At 35.0% G+C, this 21,454-nt stretch overlaps 1 protein-coding gene across 3 annotated transcripts in view, besides 1 other annotated feature; it reads left to right on the top strand.

Annotated features, from left to right (window-relative positions):
* The window catches only part of KCNH5 (potassium voltage-gated channel subfamily H member 5), a 345,995-nt gene that overhangs the window by 243,332 nt on the left and 81,209 nt on the right, over positions 1-21,454 (top strand). The gene's annotated exons all lie outside the window — the stretch shown is intronic.
* Positions 20,266-20,837: an enhancer, noted in NCBI's record as "OCT4-NANOG hESC enhancer chr14:63248008-63248579 (GRCh37/hg19 assembly coordinates)". NCBI's record gives its function as "activates a minimal SCP1, AML or CMV promoter by ChIP-STARR-seq in naive H9 embryonic stem cells {active_cell/tissue: H9 hESC(naive)}" and the evidence as "EXISTENCE:reporter gene assay evidence [ECO:0000049][PMID:30033119]".

Here is a 21,454-nt window from a genome sequence, read left to right as displayed (position 1 = left end):
GATTAAACTTTCTTTGGCAACAGTAGGACAGTACCTTTTAGACTAAAGGTGGTCGCAGCCTAACGTGCCTTGTAGCTCCATGTTAGTAAGTGTGAAAATGGCTTGTGGAATGATTGACGTGGTAGTGATGAAGGGTGTTAGTCTCAGAAGGGCAACAGAACCTGTCTAGTTCAACCCTTTTCTTTAGAGAGGAGCCAAGTGAGGTCCAGAGAAGCTTAGTGACTTTCCCAATTAGTAAATGAATGGAGGCTTGAAAATAGATCATTTTACCCCAGAACTTTCTCCCTCATCACGGTCAACCTAAGTAGTGAGCTGAAAGTGTGGAGGAGGTTAATGAGTCTGACTCTTTATAGCAGAGTGATCGCAGTATAAGTAAATTAAATTTAGGTTTATAAAGCTGGTTCTGTCCTCTATATTAATAGGCCATAAAAATTATTTGGCTAATAATAAATTCATTTTAAAATTTAGAGCATTTTAGAATTTAGAATTCAGTAGATAGTTGTACTAACCACAACCACAACAATAAAAGGGCAGTAACAGTATATATAAGTGATAAAATAAAAAATGTTGCATGTTTGGGGACAGTGTAGGATATACGCTTGGCAAAAAAAAAAAAAAAAAAAAAAATTGCCAAATGACCTTTTAGATCATTTTCTGCTCAAATATCTGCAGCAGTTTCCTGAAATCCACAGATATAAAAGGAAGTAATAATGAGGTCAGAGGAGAATCATTTCTTTTTTTTTTTTTTTTACCAGGTAAAATAAGTTAGAATTGCAGGATGTCGACTTCATTTTGATCACATTGTTCATGGCTTGTGTCTCATGAAAAATGAGCTCAATTTTTAAACTATTGGATTTTCAGCTACTGAGGTCAACCTACCATAGCTTGAATGCCACTTATTCTCAAAAGTAAAAGATTAACTGATAGATTTTAAAAACTACAAAAGCAAAATCCACCACAATATAATGAAAAATTGACTTCAAAAAGCACCATTACTTGAAAAATATAGAATTGAGAATGGAAAAGAAATGACCCTTCATAGGGAAACAGGTTCTGTAAAAATTGTGAGTTCTAGAAAATGGTTCAGGGTTGCAAATGACTGAATACCAAGGTTTGTAAGCCTTTCCTTAACTGCATATAAATAATATTAGAATTACAGTTAGATTTCTTCTAGGAACTGTTTTTTTTTTTCAAGAAGAAAATACGACATTTTAGAGTCAACATTCTGGGTATGTTTAATGCTCGTTAGTGCTTGTTCTGCTTTGTTTACTGGAGTATAAAGGAGATAAATATAACCCTTCATAAAAAGTTGTACATTTCACCAGAGCAATCCTTTGTGGTAAAATGAAGCATATTTACACTCTGTAAACCATTCTTGTTTGCTTAAAGAAGAGGATACATACACACTAAGCAAACTATTCTTGTTTGCTTAAAGAAGAGGATAAAATACAAGGCCAAAACAAATGTATTTTATTTTCCTGAATGTCCACATCAAACGTGGGTAGGAAAAAAATATCAAATGTATTACATGAAAATGTAATATCATGATAACCCTCATGATAAATTACCTCAGCTGTAGACTCATTATTATTTGCTTTGTCCCGTTTTCTTCATTACAACTTCATTTGGGTAACTCCTTTTCTAAAAGAAGGTTGGAGAAAGTCCTGGGTACAGTGCCTCTAGCCTGGGTCTGCTCAAATGAGACAATTTGCTCAGTGAGACAGACAAAATGCATTTTCCTTTCATTTTAAAATAAAATGGTAACTTGTTTTGCCCAATGACACAGTAAAAATGAACACAGGACCCCTGGGTATTGCACCCATCTCATCATATATCTGTCACATTTTATTATTTTGAGTTTGTGCTTTTTGTTTTCTCTCCTCAAAAGTCTTGGGATTCAGAGACTTTTCACATCTTGTGCTTAATGAGTCAAATTATACGGACAACTCTCTGGTGACCTTTCTTTTTTTTCTATAGGCTCTGAAAAAGACTAGTTCATTCAAAAGCCCATCAGATCAGGATTTTTTGTTTGTTTGTTTAACATACAAAATGCTTTAATGATGTTTTAAGAAAGGAGGAGGAAAATAGTAACTTACCAGCACCTGTTTTCCTGATTCTCCTCTTCTTCCTCTTCTTCTCCTCCTCCTCCTCCTTTTCTTTCTCCTCCTCTTCTTCTTCTCATTTTTGATAGTTTAATTTTGAAATAATTGCATGCTTAATGAAAAGTTACAAAAATTATCAGGGTGTGAAGGGATTATATATATATTAAATATTAAATATATATAATATATTATTTAATATTTAATTATATATTAAATATTAAATATATAATATATTAAATATATAAAATATTAAATATATAATCCCTTCACACCCTGATATGTGTGTGTGTGTGTGTGTATATATATATATATATATATATATATATATATATAAAGGTATATACATAGAAAAGATATATATGTATATTTTTAAGTTCTGCTTTATTAAGTTGACTCAGTCTTTATAACTTTATGTATTTTTTTCTTTTTGGCTTTTTTTTTTTTTTTTTTTGAGACGGAGTTTCACTCTTGTTGCCCAGGCTGGAGTGCAATGGTGTGATCTCAGCTCACCGCAACCTCCGCCTCCCAGGTTCAAGCAATTCTCCTGCCTCAGACTCCCAAGTAGCTGGGATTACAGGCATGCACCACCACGCCCGGCTAATTTTGTATTTTTAGCAGAGACAGGGTTTCTCCATGTTGAGGCTGGTCTCGAACTCCTGACCTCAGGTGATCCACCCGCCTCGGCCTCCCAAAGTGCTGGGATTACAGGTGTCAGCCACCGCGCCCAACTTTATGTATTTTTTAAATCCTTTTGATTTGCCCTGGTACTGAGAGTGGTGGGTTAACATATCTTATCATTCATGCGTTTTATCTATGTCTCCTTGCATCTCTTGTGGTTTATGCTCTATAACATTTACTGCTGTGTTATTTGGTGTACAGATTATTTATGATTGTTATGTCTTAGTTGTCAACTGTGGCCTTTGGCATTTAAATATGCCAAAAGCCATCATGTTTAATGCTCTTTGCTTTTAATCTTGCAAGGGTCAGAGAGGAACAAAATCCCTACATCCCTCACATCTGAGGACACCTCACAAAAATGGGAACTTGCCTAAATTAGTCTGATAGGAGAAACAAGAAGGCCTTGCTATCTCTTACACTGATACATTTGCCAGTTAAAAGGTAGAGAAGGGAGGTTATTTTAAAATTAATTAGAATCTCTGAATCCAAAAACAGGTGCAGTTTCATGTTTTTGGATTCTTGCCACTAAACAGTCTCTCGATAGGCACGTAATTCTTTAGTGTGTCAAAAGTGCTAAGGAGTTTAATGAATAAGTTCTGAAGCATAACTAATTAATGGAAAGATAAAAAATTTAGTCAACAAATAACCTCCTTTAACACTGGAGGATGGCTTCAAGATGTTTTTCTAAATAGGGCATATGAAATATAATTGCAGTTCATGTCTTTTTTCAATTTGAAGTTCTTTCAAAGTTCTTTCAGTTCCTACACCTCCACCTTTTTCTGACCTTCCCACTTTTTATAAAACACAAAGAATTCCAAATTAAGTTCGTGATGCATACATAATATTTTATATTCTTTAATGTCTTATTCCTTTTTAGTTCCTATCCTATAATTACTTAATGTGAACAGATTTGTTGGTATGGCTGAAATAGCCAGGTTACTTCTCAATGTCTTGACAAGTATATTGTGCCTTTCTGAGGTTATAAAAATGACATTTCCCTGCTAACAATAGACCGTGCTCCTAAGACATTTGTTTTGTTGTATTTTCATTTTGTCTTTGTGTTCATTGATTATTAGAATCATAGGGTTAGAATTATTAAACTAAGACAATCTCTATCTAAGTCTTTTAGTTGTAACTTCAAATTCTCAAGAGAGCTATGTTTGTTTATGTATGGTTTGGATGGAGGGGTTGAAAATTGTTATGGAATTGGGAAAAAGCATAAACGAGGCCAGGAATAACATAATTAAATCAACTTAATACGAAAGAGAGTCTTTAGCACTCGAATTAAGATTCTATTTTAAGTAGAATCAGTTATTTAAAATCCATTGTAGGCTGGGCATGGTGGCTCATGCCTGTAATCCTAGCACTTTGGGAGGCTGAGGTGGGCTAATCACTTGAGGTCAGGACTTGGAGACCAGTCTGGCCAACATGGTGAAACCCCATCTCTACTAAAAATACAAAAATTACCTGGGTTTGCTGGCATATATCTGTATTTGGGAGGTATTTGGGAGGCTGAGGCATGAGAATTGCTTGAACCCAGGAGGCTGAGGTTGCAGTGAGCTGAGATCACGCCACTGTACTCCAGCCTGGGCGACAGAGTGAGACTTTGTCTCAAAAAAAAAAAAAATTATAAACGTGTGCATTATCAAAGAAAATTTATAACTTATACTGCTCAAAATTAAAAATCTCCTTATTTTTATTACAAAAAGAAAAAATGAGATGTGAATGAATAATATTTTGTTATTTTGAGAATCTGTGAGAATGTGATTTTTATGCTGTAGTTATATTTCTTCCTGTGCACTTGCTGTTAGAAGTCAAATGCTTCACAGTTTAAATCCTTAAAAGGGTTTTTCCCAAGTTCCAGAAAATCATTTTCTTTTGCACCCATACTTCTGTGTTGTAGATGCGGAACTGTGAAACATGTAGATTTGTTCTATAGATCATGATGATGAAATTACTTAATTCAGATATTTTTATAAAGGGCAAATCAGTTGTTTGCTTTTAAAAACATGCATACTTGTCTTGTTTTAAACATTTTAAGCAGCAATTATAACATTGTTTATCTATGGTTCAAAATATACACTTTTAGAGTTCCTCAGCCTGCAGGTTTTGGAATAAAATAGGAGTTTTAACAATCTTGGTAGTTTAGATTAAACTTCAAACCCTCCCTCCATCATCCTTCAAAACTAATTTATCCTATCCCCTTGATATCTTTTAATCCTATTCTTAATATCCCTTACCACAGTCAGTGTTCTTAAAATTTTGGTCCTGGGTGTGAAAGGAAAACATCTTGGGCCCCCAAGATCACTAAGGAAAATTCATGTTGGAAACTGCTTAGGGCAAATCTGCCTCCCATTCTATTCAAAGTTACTAAGATAGATGCATATCTGATTTGCCTCCTTTGGAAAGGCTAATCAGAAACTCAAAAGAATGCAACCATTTGTGTATCACCTATCTGTGACCTGAAAGCTCCCTCTCTGCTTCCAGTCTTCCTGCCTTTGCTTCAAGTTGTCCCACCTTTCCAGACTGGAACCAATGTACTTCTTACATATATTGATTGATGTCTCATATCACCTTAAAATGTATAAAACCAAGCTGTGTCCCGATCATGTTGGGCACATGTCGTCAGGACTTCCTGAGGATGTGTCACGGGTGCATCCTCAACCTTGGCAAAATAAACTTTCTAAATTAACCAAGACCTGTCTCAGATTTTCCAGGTTCACATGGGCCATGACTACCATCTTAGTCATTAGACTTACCTGCTCATAAATCTATCATAGAATCATAGGGTTAGAGTTATTAAACTAAGACAATCTCTATCTAAGTCTTTCAATTGTAACTTCAAATTCTCAAGAGAGCTATGCTTGTTTATGTATGGTTTGGAAGGAGGGATTGAAATTGTTATGGGGTTGGGAAAAAGAGCATAAATGAGGACAGGAATAACATAATTAAATCAACTTAATACGAAAGAGAGTCTTTAGCACTTGAATTAAGATTCTATTTTAAGTAGAATCAGTTATTTAAAATCCACTGTAGGCCCAGCATGGTGGCTCATGCCTGTAATCCTAGCACTTTGGGAGGCCGAGGTGGGCAAATCACTTGAGGTCAGGAGTTAATAAATCTATCATCAGCTTCAACCTCCATTTCAATGTTTCGCTGCCACCACAATAATCTTCCTAAGGTATAATTGTGTCAATCTCCTCATTAGTATTTCCAGTATCTTGAGGATAAAATGTAACTACGAGCATGGCTTATGGGGCCATTTGGGTCTGGCTTTTGCTCTTCTTTCTGGCCTGATTTGTGTCATTGTCTATCCCTACCCTATTCTCACCGTACTGAATTGCAGGAAGTTTCCTGAGTTTAACAAAGTTCCCTCTTCCTGGCAGGTTGTTGCATATACTGCTCCTTTATTTAGAATACTTTTTCTCTCCTTTTTAGTGATTTGTCTCTTGCTTCCTTGTTCTATTTTATTTTTCCCTTATTGCCCTAGTCTGGATTAGATGCCTCTGTTCTGTGCTTCCACTTGGATGCCTATACAGGGTTCTTAGTACCTCCTATTTTTATCCTTCCCCTGTTTATCCTCCCACTGCACAGTGACCACTTGAAATTTCTTGTTCCTTTTTGTCTCTCTGTCATCTATGATAGGATCTCTTCAATAGGTTCTCAGTAAAGGCTATTGTGAGTGAGACAGATTAGCTAGTACAGCTGTTACTTGGTATCCACAAGGGATTGGTTTCAGAACACCCTCACAGAGACCCTACTCTGAGGATGCTGAAGTCCCTTACGTAAAATGGTGTAGTATTTGCATACAACCTATGCACATCATCCTGTGTATTTAAAATCATCTCTAGGTTACTTATAATTCCCAACACAATGTGAATGCTATGTACATAGTTGTTTTATTGGTTAGGGAATAATGACAAGAAAAAATATCTGTACACATTTAGTACAGACGCAGCCATCCATTTTTTACCCCAAATATTTTCTATTTGTGGTTCATTGAATCCATTGATGAGAAACCCACAGGTATGGAGGGCCAACTCTGCTATATTTTGCCAACAAACTGTTTTCATAATTGTTTCAGTTCTGGGTACCCAGAAAAATATGTTGTGTTCTGTTGACTCACTTGCCAATTTCCTCTATGCCCTCTGTTCCTCCTTTGTTGATAGAGGTTTATAGTAAAATGCATTTCTCAAAAGCCCATAACTTTAGTTTAGATCTGTTATAGGCAGAAGAAACATTTTCCTACTGTTAACTAGGCAATTTGAACAAAGATAATTGAGGGGGAAACTGTGTTAAGTATCTCAGACCACACACGGCTCTCTGATAAGTTGCTCCTTTCTTGTTCTCCATCACGGATCCCCAGTGCCAGGAAAGGAACTAACTTATACCTGCTTGTTGACCATAATAAGAAAACTTTAAATTACATTCATTGAAGGAAATTTAGCTTTAATTCCTAAAGTGACATTGCTTTTGTCATCAACTAGAATGAATGATTCAATAAATCTGAATTAATTTCATTAATACATAAACATTTAAGAATTAAAAGGGATTTAAAGAAAGGAAAATCATATTTTCCATTAGCAAATGAGCCCCCACCCACTTAAGTAAAATGTAAAGCCAACAGATACCTTTTGATTTTAATATTCCTTAACAAACTTTTAAAGTGTATTTTTGAAAAATACACTTGGGCGTCTTTGGAAGTCTGATTAAAATACCAATAATTATTAATGGAGTGCTCATTATTTTGTATACATTATTATACCAAGTCGTTTAATAACCCTGTGAAGAAAGTAATTATTGTAGTCATCTTACAGAGGAAGAAACTGAAACTCTGTAATATCAAGTGGTTCTCCCTGGGTCACAGCTAGTAAGTAATTGGTGGGTACAGGATTTTAATTCAGACCTGTCTGACATTATGTGCATGCTTTTACCCATCAAATTACAAAAAAAAAAAATGATGCTCTGGTTAACAGGAATTTTGAAATAGAATTTTGAAATTATAGTACAACTGTTTGGTTTAATCTTAATGGAAAATAAGAGTACCTATATTACCTTTACCAATTTATTTATTTTTATTTTTTAAAAAAGATTTCTCTAACACCACTGCCAAGAATTAGGCACCATAACAGTATACGTTACAAAAACCCTTCACCAAATATTACCTAAGGTACTTAGTTAAGTATGAATTGGCTAAATCAGCTACTAAGTATCTATAAATACTGTCCTTCTCCAAGTGACTGGTTTACCATGAGGAAGGTGTTTAGGACTGAGGAGAACTGAGCCCAGAGTGTGAATGTCATGAGTTCTTAGAACACAAGATAGGGATGTTACATTCCACTCTCCTCTTTCATCTGGGTTATGGAAGAGTTCAGAGTCTACTTAGTTGGTAAATGTTAAAGTGGAAATGAAGCTTTCTTTCTTTGTGAGGTCTTTCCTAATTTCTTTAAATTAAAAACAATATTTTTCTTCTGTGCTCTGCTTATCCTGATCTGTATACACTTACTTCATTTTCTTCTATTTTGTAATTTTTTTGGTCTGTCTCTCTTACTCACAAAATTAAAGACTTCTTGAGAGCCAGATTTCTATTTCCTGAATCTGCCTATCCCCTCACAGCATAAAGCAAATGTTTCAACTTTTGAACAAAAGTTCAAAAAACTTAAAAAAATTTTTTAAGTGGTAGCATTTTATTTTATAAATAAATAATATAGCATAAGGTAAAGGAAAAACAGAAGACAAGTAACAATAATACAAGAAAGAAAAAAAGAAAACCTGTGCTTTGAATCTCACTCCTTTATCCTTGTGATTGCTTTTTGTTTCTCTATACGCTTCTGTGATCACTGCCCATACTCATACACATTTCTATCACAGCAACACACCTTTATTGAGGTATAATTGATACACAAATATCTACACATATTGAATGCACACAATGTGATGAGTCTGTGTATATGCAAACACTCTTAATACCATTACCATAATCAAGGTAATAGACACATCCTAAAACTCCCATAGCTTTCTTCTGTCCTTTTTTCATGGTAAGAACACTTAATATGAGATCTACCCTCTTAACAAATTTTGAAGTTCACAGTACTGTGTTGTGAAGTATAGGCTCTATGTGTACAGCAGATATCTAAAACTTAATTCATCTAGCATAACTGAAACTGTATACCCATTGAACAAAAACTATCCTTTCCCCCATCTTCCAAGCCCTGACAGCCACTATTATATTCTCTGCTTCTATGAATGTAACTATTATAGACACTTCATATGAGTGGAATCATGAAATATTTGTACTTCTGCAACTGACTTATTTTGTTTGGCATAGTGCTCTCCAGGTTCACCTATATTATTGCAAATGACAGAATTTTCTTCTTTTCAAAGGCTGAATAATATTCCATTGTATGCATACGCCACGTTTTCTTTATCAATTCATCTGCTGATAAATACTGGGGTTGTTTCCATGTCTACCTATTTTGAATAAAGCTACAATGGGCATGAGAGTACAGATATCTCTTTGAGATTTTGATTTCAATACTTTTGGATACATACTCAGAAGTCAGATTATTGCATCATAGGTTAGAGTTAGGGTTGAGTCAGGATGTCAGATTCGTTAATTGAATGAGGTAGAAAAGACAGCCATTATTTCTCACACTTCACAGTTGCAAAAGTTCTAAGACTTAGTTATAATATGAACGATATCGTAGGCTTCAACTCTAAATGTTTTCTTAGAAAAAGAAAACAGGAGAGTTTCAAGATGTAATTGATTTCCAAATTAGTCTTTTGCATGGATTTCTTTTTTATAATATGCCATTCTCTTTCTTGATTTAGGCATATATTTGGATTTTTATATGCAATCAATTTGTTCTTAACACTAATAGTGCCAAACTCAGGATAATCAGCATGTTTATTATCATTTCTTCTACCTCCTTAAAGGTAGCTTCTTACTGATGTCAGGATACCTTCTCTTTACTTCTGCTTAATAAGAGCTATTTGGCTCATTCTTTATGTGTGTAAAAAAAATCTACGAGCTAAATCACTTATTTTTTTAATAGATAAGAATTATTATTTGCTTCTCTGAAAATGTCTTCAAGCTAGTATTTATGATAATTTTTAACATAATGACTTTGGACATCAATCATTGAAGACTGGCAGACATCATTTCTAAATGTTTTAAAAGATTTTATTCTAATAAAACTATGTAATTTCTTAATTTTAATACTCATTTTGTTCTTTCTGTTCTTCCTTTTTAAAATATTACTTTATGACCCTTGCAGTTTGTACATAGTTGAAGTCCATTTAAAATAATGTAATTAAAAATCATATAGTCTTATTCATCTATAAATGAATATTTTTGGGCCTATGTAATTATAATGAAGTTTATGAGCCAATTGCAATGATAACTTATAGTGAAGGGCCAACTAATAAATAAAAATGAATACAGTTCAAGTCGAGTATTTCTTTATTAATTTCTTGTCTGGTTGATCTATCCATTGTTGAAAGTGGGTTATTGAAGTCCTGTGCTGTTATTGCATCTCTATGCATTTTTTCCATCAAGTCCATTAACACTTGCTTTATATATTTTGATGCTCCAATGTTGGGTACATATATATTTACAGTTGTTATATACTTGATAAATTGATGCCTTTAACATTAAATAATGAGCTTATTTGTCTCTTGTGACAGTTTTTGACTTGAAATCTATTTTATCTGATGTAAATATAGCCACTCCTGCTCTCTTTTGGCTACTGTTTGCATGGAATATCTTCCATTCTTTAACTTTCAGCCCATGTGTGTCCTTAAATCTAAAATAGTTCTTATAGGTAGAATATAGTTAGATCTTGTTTCTTTTTTAATATCCATTCAGCCACCCTGTCTTTTGATTGGATAATTTAATCCATTTACATTTAAGGGTATTGATAGGTAAAGACTTATTCTTGCCCTTTTGTCATTGTTGCTTGGTTATTTTGTAGGTCCTTTTTTTTCCTTCTTGTGACTTACTTACTGTAAGTTACTTACTGTAGCTATGGTTATTTTTGACCATTTTGACTTTTAACCTTCATACTAGAGATTTGGAAGATTTACATACTGCTACTATAGTAATGGAATATTCTGCTTTTGACTGTGTATTTACTTCCACCAGTGAGTTTTATACTTTCATATATTTTCATTTTGGTAGTTATTATCCTTTCATTTCCAGTTGAAGAACTCCATTAAGCATTTCCTATATGATGGTCTAGTAATGATGACACCATGATCAATGGGGAACAACTAAAGACTTCTCCACTAAGATCCAGCACAAGGCAGGGATGCCTGCTGTTACCACTTCTATTCAATATAGCGCTGGAATTACTAGCAAAGGCAATCAGACAAGAAAAATAAATGAAAGGCATTTAAAACAGAAAGAAAAAAGTAAAATTATCTCTGTTTGTAGATGACATGATTCTATATGTAGAAAAAGCCAAAGATTCTACAAAAACCTCATTAGAACTAATAAATAAATTTAATAAAGTTGCAGGTTGCAAAATCAACATACAAAAATTAGCAGCATTTCTATATGCAAATAATGACTTAGCTGAAAAAGAAATCAAGAAAAAAATCTCACTTACAATTGTTACAAAAAATACATAGTAATGAATTTAACCAAAAAGGTAAAATATCTGTACACAGAAAACTATAAAGCACTGATGAAAGAAATTGGCTGACTCTGGGTATACCACCAATAAGTTAGCCCTGCTCCACAAGGAACAGTGAAAAAAAAAAAAAGAAGGAAAGAATTGAAGAAGACACAAATAAATGGAAATATGTCCTATGTTCATGGGTTATAAGAATTAATATTGTTAAAATGTACATACTAGCCAAAGCAATATACATAGTCAAAGCAATTGCTATCAAAATTCCAGTGACATTTTTAAAGAAATAGAGAACACAATCCTCAAATTTTTATGAAGCTGTAGAAAAAACCCAAATAGACAAAAAGCAATACTGAGAAAGAACAAAGTTGGAGGCATCACACTTCCTGATTTAAAATTATATTACAAATGTCTAGTAATTAAAACGGTATGGTACTGGCATAAAAAAGAAACACGGAGCAGTAGAACAGAACAGAGAGCCCAGAAATAAATCCAAACATATACGGTCAACTAATTTTCAACAAGGGTGCCAAAGGCCACAATGGGAAATTAATAGTTTTTCAATATATGGTGCTGAGAAAACTGGATTTCCACATGCAAAAGGATAAAATTAGGACCTTATTTTCCACCCATACAAAAAAAAAAGTCAACTCAAAATGGATAAAATGCCTGTGAGACCTGAAACCATAAAACACGTTGATGAGAACATACAGGAAAAAACACCTTGATATTGGCCTTGGCAATGACTTTTTGGATATAACACCAAAAGCTTGAGCCATAAAAGCAAAAATAAATAAATAGGGTTACATCACACTAAAACGTTTCTGTACAGCAAGGGAAACAATCAACAAAATGAAAAGGCAGCCTGTAGACTGGGAAATATATTTGCAAACCACATATATGTAAGAACTCTTACAACTCAATAGCAGAAAATAAATAACCCTATTAAAAAGTGAGCAAGAAACCTGAGCAGAAATTTCTCCAAATAAAACATAAAAATAACCATCAGGTATATGAAAAGGTGCTCAAATCACTAATCATCAGGGGAGTGCAAATTAAAGTCATTATGAGATATCACCTCACACCTGTTAGGAAGACTATTATCAAAAAGACTAGATATAATAAATGTTGATGAGGGTGTGGAGAAAAGAGAATCCTGGAATACCGTTGGTGGGAGTGTAGTTTGGAGCAGCCATTATGGAAAACAATATGGAGGTTTATTAAAAAATTAACAATAGTACTACTGTGTGACTCAATATCCCTCTACTGGGTAAATACCCAAAGGTGATGAATTTATCACCTCCTAGAGATATCTGCACCCCCATGTTTATTGCAGTATTGTTCACAATAGGCAAGATATGGAAACGACCTAAGTATCCATTGATGGATGAATTGATAAAGAAAATGTAGTATGTATATGCAATGGAATATTATTCAACCTTAAAAAAGAAAGACAGCCTGCCATTTGCCACAGCATGGATGAACCTTAAAGACATTATGCTAAGTGAAATAAACCAGACACATAAATAATATATTGCATGATCTCACTTATATGTAGAATCTTTTTAAAAAGTCAAATATACAAAGATAGAGAATAAAACAGTGGTGGGGATGTGGAGTAGGGTGGGAGGAAATGAGTACATGTAGGTCAAAGGATAGAAAATAGCACACATGTAGGATGAATATTTTTAGAGATCTAATGTATAGATGAAGACTATAGCTAATAATATTGTACTGACATATCTCAGAGATTTTGTTGGTTTGGTACCAGACCACCATAATAGAGCCAATGTTGTAATAGAGTCACCAATTTTTTGGTTTCCCAGGGAACATAAAAGTTATGTTCACATTATACTTAGTCTATTATGTGTGCAATAACATTATGTCTAGAAAAACAATGCATATACCTTAATTTAAAAATATTTTATTGTTAAAATATGCTAATGATCATCTGAGCCTTCAGCAAGTTGTAATCTTTTTGCTGGTGGACAGTCCTGCCTTGATGTTGACAGATACAGACTGATCAGATTGGTGGTTGCTGAAGGGTGGAATAGAGGGGGCAATTTCTTAAACTAAGATGACAATGAAATTTACTGCATCAATTGACTCTTCCTTTCATAAAATATTTCTCCTATAGCATGTGATGCTGACTGATAGCATTTTAGTCACAGTAGAACTTCTTTCAAAATTGGAGTCAGTCCTCTGAAACCCTTGCCACTCTGTCTGATCAACTGAGTTTATGAACTAGTATAAGTACTTTGTTGTCATTTCAACAATGTTCATGGCATCTTCACTAAGAGTAGATTCTGTCTCAAGAAACCACTTTCTTTGCTCATCCGTAAGTAGCAACTTCTCACCTGTTGGTTTTATAGTGCGATTGCAGCAAGTCATCCACATTTTCAGGCTCCACTTCTAATTCTAATTGTCTTGCCGTTTCTACATCTGCAGTTACTTCCTCCACTGAAGTCTGTAGCTCTCAAAGTCATCCATGAGGGTTGGAATCAACTTCTTCCAAACTCCTGTTAATAGTAATATTTTGGCTTTCTCACATCTCACATGAATCACAAGTGTTCTGAATGGCATCTAGAATTCTGAATGTTCTCCAGAAGATTTCCCATTTACTTTCTCTAGATCCTTTAGATGGATCAGTATCTATGACAGCTATAGCCTTACCAGTATATTTCTTGAATAATAAGACTTGAAAGTCAAAATTGCTCCTTGATCCATGGGCTGCAGAATGGATGTTGTGTTAGCCGGCATGAAAACAGCATTCGTCTTGTAGATCTTCATTAGAGCTCTTGGGTGACCAGATGCATTGTCAATGAGCAGTCATATTTTCAAATGAATCTTTTTTTCTGAGCAGTTGGTCTCAACAGTAGGCTTAAAATATTCAGTAAAGCATGCTATAAACAGATGCACTGTCATCCAGGCTTTGTCCTTCCATTTATAGAGCAAAGGCAGAGTAGATTTAGCATAATTCTTAAGATTCTAGGACTTTGGGAATAATCAAGGAGTACTGGCTTCAACTTAAAGTCACCAGCTGCATTAGGCCCTAACAAGTTAGCCTATCCTTTAAAGTTTTGAAGCCAGTTTTTGACTTCTCTCTATCTATGAAAGTCCCAGATGGCATCTTCTTTTAATAGAAGGCTGTTTCATCTGCATTAAAAATCTGTTGTCTAGTCTAGTCACCTTCATCAGTTATTTTAGCAGATCTTCTGGATAACTTGCTGCAGCTTCTACATCAGTACTTGTGTTTCAGCTTGCATTTTTATGTTGTGGAGATGGTTCCTTTTCCTAAACTTTATAAACCAATCTCTGCTAGCTTCAAACTTTTCTTCTGCAGCTTCCTCCCCTCTCTTAGCCTTTACAGAATTGGAGATAGTTAGGGCCTTGCTCTGGATTTGGCTTTGGCGTAAGGGAATGTTGTGTCTGGTTTGATCTTCTATCCAGGCCACTAAAACTTTCTCCTTATCAGCAGTAGGTCTGTTTCATTTTCTTGTCATTCATGTGTTCGCTGGAGTAGCACTTGTAACTTCCTTTAAGAACTTTTACTGTGCATTCACAACTTGGCTAGCTGTTTGGTGCAAGAGGCCTAGCTTTTAGCCTATTTTAGCTTTTGACATGGCTTCCTCACTAAGCTTAATTATGTCTACCTTTTGACTTGAAATGAGAGATTTGTGACTCTTCCTTTTGCTTGAACACTTGGAAGCCATTTTAAGGTTGCTGGTTGGCCTAATTTCGATATTATTGTGTCTCAGAAAACAGGAAGGCCCCAGGAGAGGAAGAGGGAGTTGGGGAATGATAGATCAGTGGAGTAGTTAAAACACACACAATATTTATTGATTAAGTTTGCCATCTTATATGGGTGTGGTTTGTAGTGGCCCCAAACAATTACAACAATAACATGAAAGATTACTGATCACAGATTTCCATAACAGATATAATAATAATGAAAAAATTAGAAATACTGTGAGAATTACCAAAATGAGACATCAAATGATCACATGCTGTTAGAAATATGACACCGATAGACTTGTTCGACACTGAGTTGCCACAAACCTTCAATTTGTAAAAAACATAATACCTGCCAAGCACAGTAAGGTAAAGCACAATAAAATGAGGATTATGCCTGTATTGTAATACAAATTTTTGTTAAATAGGTAGATTTTAGCTGCTTTCATCTCACACACAATCAAAAATATGTGAGATGATAGACATGTTAATTTGCTTCACTATAGTGATTCACTATAGTGATTTTACTATCTTTATGTGTTCCATAATGTTACATGTTAAATCTCAAGTATATACAATAAAACTTACTAAAAAAAGAAGTGAAGGCATGGATTAAGTTCATTATATAGAAAAATCTTCAAATAGAGCCACTATCACACCCCTAAACTCACACAAAACTACCTAAGTAAAATTCAAAAGATATTTTGTTTGGAACCTGTTGGATATTAGTTAGCAGTTCTCACTGATGAATACCTGTGGTAATTTTTATTTATTTATTTATTTATTTTTCTGAGACTGAGTCTTGCTCTGTCACCCAGGCTGGAGAGCAGTGGCGTGATCTCGGCTCACTGCAACCTCCGCCTCCTGGGTTCAAGCCATTCTCCTTCCTCAGCCTCCTGAGTAGCAGGGATTACAGGCGCCCGCCACTGTGCCCAGCTAATTTTTGTATTTTTAGTAGAAATGGGATTTCACCATGTTGGCCAGGCTGGTCTCAAACTCCTGACCTTGTGATCTGCCCACCTTGGCCTCTCAAAGTGCTGGGATTACAGGCATGAGCCACCGTGCCCTGCCTAACTGTGGAAATTTTTATGCATTTATTTTATTCATGTCATTAACTCACCAAATAATGTGTCTCACATTTGAAAAAATAAATCTGGCTATAAAATCAGCCCCTTTGGGGACCATAATCCCTAAGCATACCATAGTCTGTATTACTCCTTTAATTATGTTGTAACTCTGTCTCTGTTTTGTCTTAAATGTTCCAGTTTCCTACTATATGAGTCTTTAACAATTATTTCTGTTTTACAATCCTTTTTCCTGTAGTTTAACAGTGAAATACTTCATAAGACTTGATGAAAAGAACTGAGAAAATATAAATAGACCAAACAACAACTTTCATGTTTAGCACAAGCTTTCTACTAATTTTAGTACTTTGAGGGGAGGTTAGTTATCTCTAGCTCTAAAATGTTTATAGCAGAGACTACTTGTACCCAGCGGGAGCTGACCTAAAAACCAGCATCAAATGTTCTGTAGTCAAGTAGATGAACCGGAGTTCCCAGCCCTGAAAGTGTGCAAAATCTTTTGTACAGTAAAGAAAAGTGTTTCTTCATTAGCTATTCCATGCATATTGGATGCATGCACGTTAGATATTCTATGCCTAACACCACATTTTCACAGCCTATGATTTCTGGGATGACTTACTGTAAATGTGCATAATATGCTTGAAGAAAGACATTAACCAACTTTACTTTGGCTGGTAAATTAATTAATTTTTTTAAAAGATGACCATAGTCCCAGAAACACGGTAAAAGTTTGTTGTGAATTGATTGCCTCATAGGTGACATAGAAAGCCAACAAAGTAAACACACTTTGAAATGGTTGATTAGCTTAATATCCAGTTTACATATTGCATATCCCAATGAAAATTCTATATAATGAAACAATTAGTATTGCTTATTACACAAAGTGAATTCTGATGTTGGGGGCAGAATTATCTACTTTTGTTAATTTTGCTATGCTTTTCTAAACTTTTTTGGGAGAGGAGCAGGAAATAAAGTTTATCATGAGTTCATACTCTAGTTTATTGCTATTCTTACTATATCATAGACTTTTTATTTCCCCATGATACGAAAAACATAGTAATTTAATGTAATAATTTAAATTTCAAAATTTTAGGTAGAAATAGTGTAAGAATTTTTAATTTCATCAGTTAAGTTAAATAAAATATGTAACAGATATTTGAATGCTTCTGTAATTAAAAATGGCCCATATTGGTAAGAAGAAATTACCTTTATATTTTGAGTACCTTTTACCTGTTGACAATGCACTTAATAATCAATGAATATTTATTCACAATCTACAAGTCTATGTATGTATTTTATGAATTCAGTTTTATTAAGAAGTATAATGAAAGACATCGGTGAAAATGGTTTGCTGTTTTTTAATGTAGAAAAATTTGGAAAACATACAGTAGGAAGAAAAAGACCCATAAACACACCACTTAAATCCAGTTGCTATTATTATTTAAATGCATTTTCTTTTAGTCTTGTATTCCTTTAGACTTTTAGCTCAATTTATATCAATTGATAAATTTATATAACATAGTATAATGATATGGTTTGGCTGTCTCTCCACCCAAATCTCACCTTGAATTGTAATAATCCCTACATGTCAAGGGCAGAGCCAGGTGGAAATAATTGAATAATGGGAGCAGTTTCCCCCATACTGTTCTCATGGTAGTGTATAAATCTCATGAGATCTGATGGCTTTATAAATGGGAGTTCCCCTGTACAAGCGCTCTTGCCTGCCACCGTGTAAGACGTGACTTTGCTCCTCATGTGCCTTCGGCCATGATTGTGAGGCCTCCCCAGCCATGTAGAACTGTGAGTCAATTAAACCTCTTTTCTTTATAAATTACCCAGTCTTGGGTATGTCTTCATTCTTTATTAGCAGTGTGAGAATAGACTAATAAATTATATATAATAACATATAATTATAAAATACATTATACTTTGGTTCTATCAAGAGAATTTTCTTAAGAAAAGAAGATAAAGTAGATTTCTTAATTGACAATTCTTTTAGTCTTGGCACCTCAGTTTCATTTTTATATATTTTGTTATAGTTGTAACCATATTCATATTATTCTTCATTTATTTCTTAATTAACATTATAAGTTAGGAATTTTTTGCATGTTACCTCAAAAGCTGTTTTAATTCTTTGGACATTAATATTTTACACATATTTTTACAATTGCCATAGCTATTGGACATATAGGGTTTTAAAAAAATCTAGGGTTATCATTAATAACACTATAGTGAATATTACATGCAGTAGTTCTAATCTTTTGATTCTCAGAAGTGAAAATACTGAGTCAAAAGCATTGATTATTCTTAAGTGTACCATATATGAAAACAAAATAGCTGAAAAGTAATGAGCACTCATAAATGGGTAAAGGATTATAATTGACAATTTGAGAAAATGATACAGAAATGAATCATAGAGAAATGTAACCTTTTTTCTATCTCTTGAAGGAAAAATCCAGTATGGAAAGAGGATAAAAAGGAAAAGAAATAAGAGGTAGATCAAAGCAGCCCTTTAAAAGCTTGGCTTTTTTTGGTACCATCAAGAACTGTGGTAATATAACAGTTGTTGATCTCTTCTGTTTACAAAGTATTACACAAATTATAAGACAAAATAAAAACCATACATTGTTCCATAACGCAGAGAGGACCTACCATTTTGATGCATTTACTTCTGTGCTTTGTGTGCATGTATGTGTGTATGTTTGGGGGTGGGGAGATGGGGTACATAAAATGAGATTATGCTGTATGTATAGTTTGATATCCTGCTTTTACTATTTTATATAACCTTATATAACCTCCATGTCACTTTGTAAAATTTATGATACCTTGTGGCTGCATAATATTTCATTATTTATTGACATTTATTTCTAATTTTTGGCAATTATAAATTTCACTTCAGTGAGCATTTTTATAAATAAATTTGGCACTTAGGCAATTAGAATAAATGCCTATAATTGGGATTACTAGTTTGAAGAGAATACCGTGTACAGATTTCTGAAATTCATCTGTATAAAAGGAGGTAGAGTTTCTATAGCTAAAGTGTTCCTTTGGTTATTTTTTTTATTTCATTTTATTTTATTTTATTTTTTGAGATGGAGTCTCACTCTGTCATCCAGGCTGGAGTGCAGTGGCACAATCTCAGCTCACTGCAAGCTCTGCCTCCCGGGTTCACGCCATTCTCCTGCCTCAGCCTCCCGAGTAGCTAGGACTACAGGCACCCACCACCACGCCCGGCTAATTTTTTTGTATTTTTAGTAGAGACGGTGTTTCACCGTGTTAGCCAGGATGGTCTCGATCTTCTGACCTCGTGATCCGCCTGCCTTGGCCTCCCTTTGGTTATTATGATGCTGTATAACCCTAGAGGCTTTCTTTGGCTACCAAGTCTCTGATCTCCCTTCCTTGGCCAAATAAATGGTTATTAGGTTGTTAATTTGCTCATCAGTGTCATGAACTAAAAGGAATTTTTGGAGGGTCCAGAAACAAATGAATTGCTTAAGATTAATTAACTATTCATGATTGTTGTTTCATGCTGATCACATGATCATGTGGTGGTTTTAATCACCTCTTCAGTCATGTGCATGTTTTCTCTTTGTACCCTGAAGTGCCTCTTAAGCTTGAAATCAAGCCCTATGTTTCTCTCAGAGCTTCCCAACTACCTAAGTGAGCAAAGAATGTGTAATCTCACTCACTCAACCTCTCTATTTCTGTCTTGTCACTGTCTTTGTCTCTCTCTCATTTCTGTGGTTACACATTTTCTTTTCTCTCTGGTTGTCTGCCTGGCCTGAAGGGTGAGACAAGGTCTGTTGCGGGAAGTCAGGGACCCCAAACGGAGGGACCGGCTGAAGCCATGGCAGAAGAACGTGGATTGTGAAGATTTCATGGACATTTATTAGTTCCCCAAATTAATACTTTTATAATTTCTTATTCCTGTCTTTACTGCAATCTCTAAGCATAAGTTGTAAAGATTTCATGGACACTTATCACTTCCCCATTCAATACCCTTGTGATTTCCTATGCCTGTCTTTAATCTCTTAATCCTGTCAGCTGAGGAGGATGTATATTGCCTTAGGACCCTGAAATAATTGCATTAACTGCACAAATTGTACAGCATATGTGTTTGAGCAATATGAAATGTGGGCACCTTGAAAAAAGAACAGGATAACAGCAATTGTTCAGGGAATAAGAAAGATAACCTTAAACTCTGACCTCCGGTGAGCCCGGCGGAACAGAGCCATAGTTCTCTTCTTTCAAAAGCAAATGGGAGAAATATCACTGAATTCTTTTTCTCAGCATGGAACATCCCTGAGAAAGAGAATGCGCACCTGGCGGTAGGTCTCTAAACTGCCCCCCACCCCCCGCCGGGCGTGGCCGTCTCTTACGGTCGAGACTGCAGAGGTGAAATAGACTCCAGTCTCCCATAGCGCTCCCAGGCTTATTAGGAAGAGGAAATTCCCGCCTAGTAAATTTTGGTCAGACCGGTTGATCTCAAAACGCTGTCTCCTGATAAGATGTTATCAATGACAATGGTGTCTGAAACTTCATTAGCAATTTTAATTTCACCTCAGTCCTGTGGTCCTGTGATCTCGCCCTGCCTCCACTTGCCTTGTGATATTCTATTACCTTGTAAAGTACTTGATGTCTGTGACCCACACCTATTCGCACACTCCCTCCCCTTTTGAAAATCCCTAATAAAAACTTGCTGGTTTTTGTGGCTTGTGGGCATCATGGAACCTACCAACATGTGATGTCTCCCCTGGACGCCCAGCTTTAAAATTTCTTTTGTACTCTGTCCCTTTATTTCTCAAGCCAGCTGATGCTTGGGGAAAATAGAAAAGAACCTATGTGAATATCGGGGCAGATTCCCCGATAAAGGTCTTCTTCTTTTTTTTTTCCTGTTAGTTCTGATTTTAATCTGCATGATGACAGCAGATAGTTGCTCACCTCTGTGGTTTGAGTGCAGAAAGAATAAATCATTAACAGAGTGCCTCTAGGAAGATGTTTCCCTCCTGGATATATTCCCCCTGTCTTTTTCACTTTAAAACTTTTCCTTTCACGTGGAAGTTGAACAAAGAATGCAGTTGACTACACTTCAGAAACCAGGGGCTTTTATGGAACTGCCTCGGCAGAATGGCCTTTTGGGACCTTTAACCTTAGACTCTTTCTCGTTCTTTTTATTTGGGCAACTAAGTACTTGATTTCAAATGATAAATGGTTGAGTTCAGGCCAC

The sequence above is a fragment of the Homo sapiens genome, chromosome 14 (assembly GCF_000001405.40).
Source record: "Homo sapiens chromosome 14, GRCh38.p14 Primary Assembly".
NCBI lineage: Eukaryota > Metazoa > Chordata > Mammalia > Primates > Hominidae > Homo > Homo sapiens.
The sequence above is the reverse complement of the archived record's forward strand: the minus strand, read 5'-3'. Positions and strand labels throughout refer to the sequence as shown.